This window comes from Homo sapiens, chromosome 2, assembly GCF_000001405.40.
Source record: "Homo sapiens chromosome 2, GRCh38.p14 Primary Assembly".
NCBI classification, from domain to species: Eukaryota; Metazoa; Chordata; class Mammalia; order Primates; family Hominidae; genus Homo; species Homo sapiens.
This window is the reverse complement of record NC_000002.12, coordinates 48,839,602-48,842,543: the sequence shown is the minus strand read 5'-3', so window position 1 is coordinate 48,842,543 and position 2,942 is coordinate 48,839,602. Positions and strand designations below refer to the sequence as shown.

The window sequence follows — 2,942 nt, the reverse complement described above, 5'->3', positions numbered from 1 at the left end:
ATAGATATATAGTGTAAAATGGAACATTGTATCCTTTGCTTCCACACCTCCAAACACGTGCCACTTTCCAAAGGCATGACAACTTAGGGTTTCCTTTAAGTTACTTACTTATATATTTCAATCATATATGAACACATACACACTTTTTGCATTAATGGGGTCTTTATACATATTTTTCATGCTTTTTGTCACTTAACAAAATGTCTCAGAGCAGACAGGCAGAGCAAGATGGCTGAATAGAAACCTCTACCAATCATCCTCCCCAAGGAACACCAAATTGAACAACTGTCCATACAAAAAAAGCACCTTCATAAGAACCAAAAATCAGGTGAGTAATCACAGTACCTGGTTTTACCTTTATATAACTGAAAGAGGCACTGAAGAGGGTAGAAAAGACACTCTTGAATCACCAATACCAACCGTCCCCTACACCCCAGCAGCAGCCACGTGGCACAGAGAAAGAATCTGCACACTTTGGGGAGGAAGAGTACAGTGATTGTGAGACTTTGCATTGGAACTCAGTGCTGCCCTATAAGAGCAGAAAGCAACACTGGACCGAACTCAGCTGGTGCCCACGGAAAGGAGCATTTAGACTAGCCCCAGCCAGAGAGGAATGGCCCATCCCAGCAGTTGGAACATGAGTTCCAGCAAGCCTTGCCACCATGGACTAAAGTGCTCTGGTATTCCAAATAAACTTGATAGCTGGGCGTGGTGATGCATGCCTATAATCCCAGCTACACAAGAGGCTGAGGCAGGAGAATCACTTAAACCCAGGAGGCAGAGGTTGCAGTGAGCCAATATCATACCACGGCACTCCAACCTGGGCAATGGAGTGAGACTTTGTCTCAAATAAATAAACAAACAAACAAACTTGAAAGGCAGTCTAGGCCACAAGGACTGCAATTCCTAGGCAAGTCCTGGTGCTGTGCTGGGCTTGGAGCCAGTGGACTTCTGGGGCACAGGACCCAGTGAGATACCAGCTATGGTGGCCACTGGAGGGCTTGCATCACCCTTCCTCCAACCCCAGGCAATGCAGCTCACAGCTCCAGGAGAGACTCCTTTCTTCCCCTTGAGAAAAGGAAAGGGAAGAGTAAAGTGCTCTTTATCTTGCAACTTGAATACCAGCTCAGCCACAGTAGGATAGAGCACCAGGAAGAGTCCTGAGGCCCCTATTCCAGGCCCTACTTCCCAGATGACATGTCTAGGCATGCCCTGGGCCAGAAAGGAATCTGCTGCCTTGAAGTGAAAGGCAAAATTCTTTACCTGCTGACTGAAGAGCCCTTGATCCCTCAATACTCATCCATGGTACCCACAGAGTACTCACCATAGGCTCCCGGTGAGACTCAGAGAGGCGATAGGTTCAGAGGAGACCCAGCACATTCCTAGCTGTGGTAGCTATAGTGAGGGGACTCCTTATGTTTGAGAAAAGTAGAGGGAAGAGTAAAGGGGATTTTGTATTGCAGCTTAGATACCAGCTTGACCACAGTGGAGTAGACCACCAAGCAGTTTCTTGGGGTTGCCACTTCCAGAACTTGGATCTTAAATGGCATTTCTGGAACTGCCCTGAACCAGAGGGGAGCCAACTGCCCTGAAGAGAGAGTCCCAGGTCTGGCAGCATTCAAAACAAGCTGACTGAAAAGCCACTGGGCCTTGAGTGAACATTAGTGGTAGCCAGGTAGTACTCACCACAGGCTTGGGATAAAGGTGGCTGGGGAAAGACACTCCTCTGCTAATAGGAAGAAGAGGAATGAGTGAGATGGACTTTATCTTTTGGCTTGGGTGCCAGCTCAGCCACAGTAGAAATACAGCACCAGGTAAATTCCTAAGGTTTCTGACTCCAAGCCCTGGCTCCCGATGGCATCTCTGGACCCAGCCAGGACTGAAGGAAACTCACTGACCTGAAGGAAAGAACACAAGCCTGATGGTTTCACCACCTGCTGATTGTAGAGTCCTAGGTTCTTAAACAAACATAGATGGTAGCCAGACTGTATTTACCATGGGCCTTGGGCAGTACCTAATGCGGTGCTTGCTTCAGGTCTGACCCAGTACAGTCTCTGTAGTAGTGGACACAGAGGTGCTTATGTCACCCCTCTCCCAACTCCAGGCAGCATAGCACAGACAGACTGTGTTTATTTGGGAGAAAATAAGGGAAAAGAAATAGAGTGTCTGCCAGATAATACAGAGGATTCTTCCAGATCTTATCCAGGACTACCAAAGCAGTACCTCTACCAGTCTGCAAGTGCCACAGTGTTACTGGGATTGGGGTACACTTTAACACAGATATGGCTGCAGTGACCAAAAACTTAGATCACAACACCTAAGTCCCTTAGAATACCTAGGAAGCTTTCCCAAAAAACGATGAGTACAAAAAAGCCCAGATTGCAAATACTACAATAAATACCTAATTCTTTGATGCCCAAACACCAATGAACATCCATAATAATCAAGACATCCAGAAAAACATGACATGACCTCACCAAATGAACTAAATAAGGCACCAGGAACCAATCTCAAACAAAGACATGTGACTTTTCAGACAGAGAATTCGAAAAAGCTGTTTTGAGGAAACCTAATAAAATTCAAGATAACACAGAGAAGGAATTCAGAATCCTATCTAATAGATAAATTGAACAAAGAGGTTGAAACAATTTAAAAGAATCAAGTAGAAATTCTGGAGTTGAAAAATGCAACTACCATACTCAAGAATGCATCGAGTCTCTTAATAGCAGAATTGATCAAGCAGAAGAAAGAATGAGTAAGCTTAAAGACAGGCTATTTGAAAATACACAGTCAGAGGAAACAAAAGAAAAAGGAATAAAACATGCCTACAAGATCCAGAAGATAGTCTCAAAAGGGCAAATCTAAGAGTTATTGGTCTTGAAGAGAAAATAGAGAAAGAGAGAGGAGTAAAAAGTTGATTCAAAGGGAAAATATCAGAGGAC

The 2,942-nt window shown here is 44.7% G+C and overlaps 2 annotated features.

Annotated features, from left to right (window-relative positions):
- Nucleotides 633–1,832: an enhancer, noted in NCBI's record as "MED14-independent group 3 enhancer chr2:49067851-49069050 (GRCh37/hg19 assembly coordinates)". NCBI's record gives its function as "activates an origin of replication core promoter dependent on BRD2, BRD4, P300/CBP and CDK7 cofactors, and independent of MED14, by STARR-seq in HCT116 cells {active_cell/tissue: HCT116}" and the evidence as "EXISTENCE:reporter gene assay evidence [ECO:0000049][PMID:35650434]".
- Nucleotides 925–1,425: an enhancer, noted in NCBI's record as "H3K27ac hESC enhancer chr2:49068258-49068758 (GRCh37/hg19 assembly coordinates)". NCBI's record gives its function as "activates a minimal SCP1, AML or CMV promoter by ChIP-STARR-seq in naive and primed H9 embryonic stem cells {active_cell/tissue: H9 hESC(naive and primed)}" and the evidence as "EXISTENCE:reporter gene assay evidence [ECO:0000049][PMID:30033119]".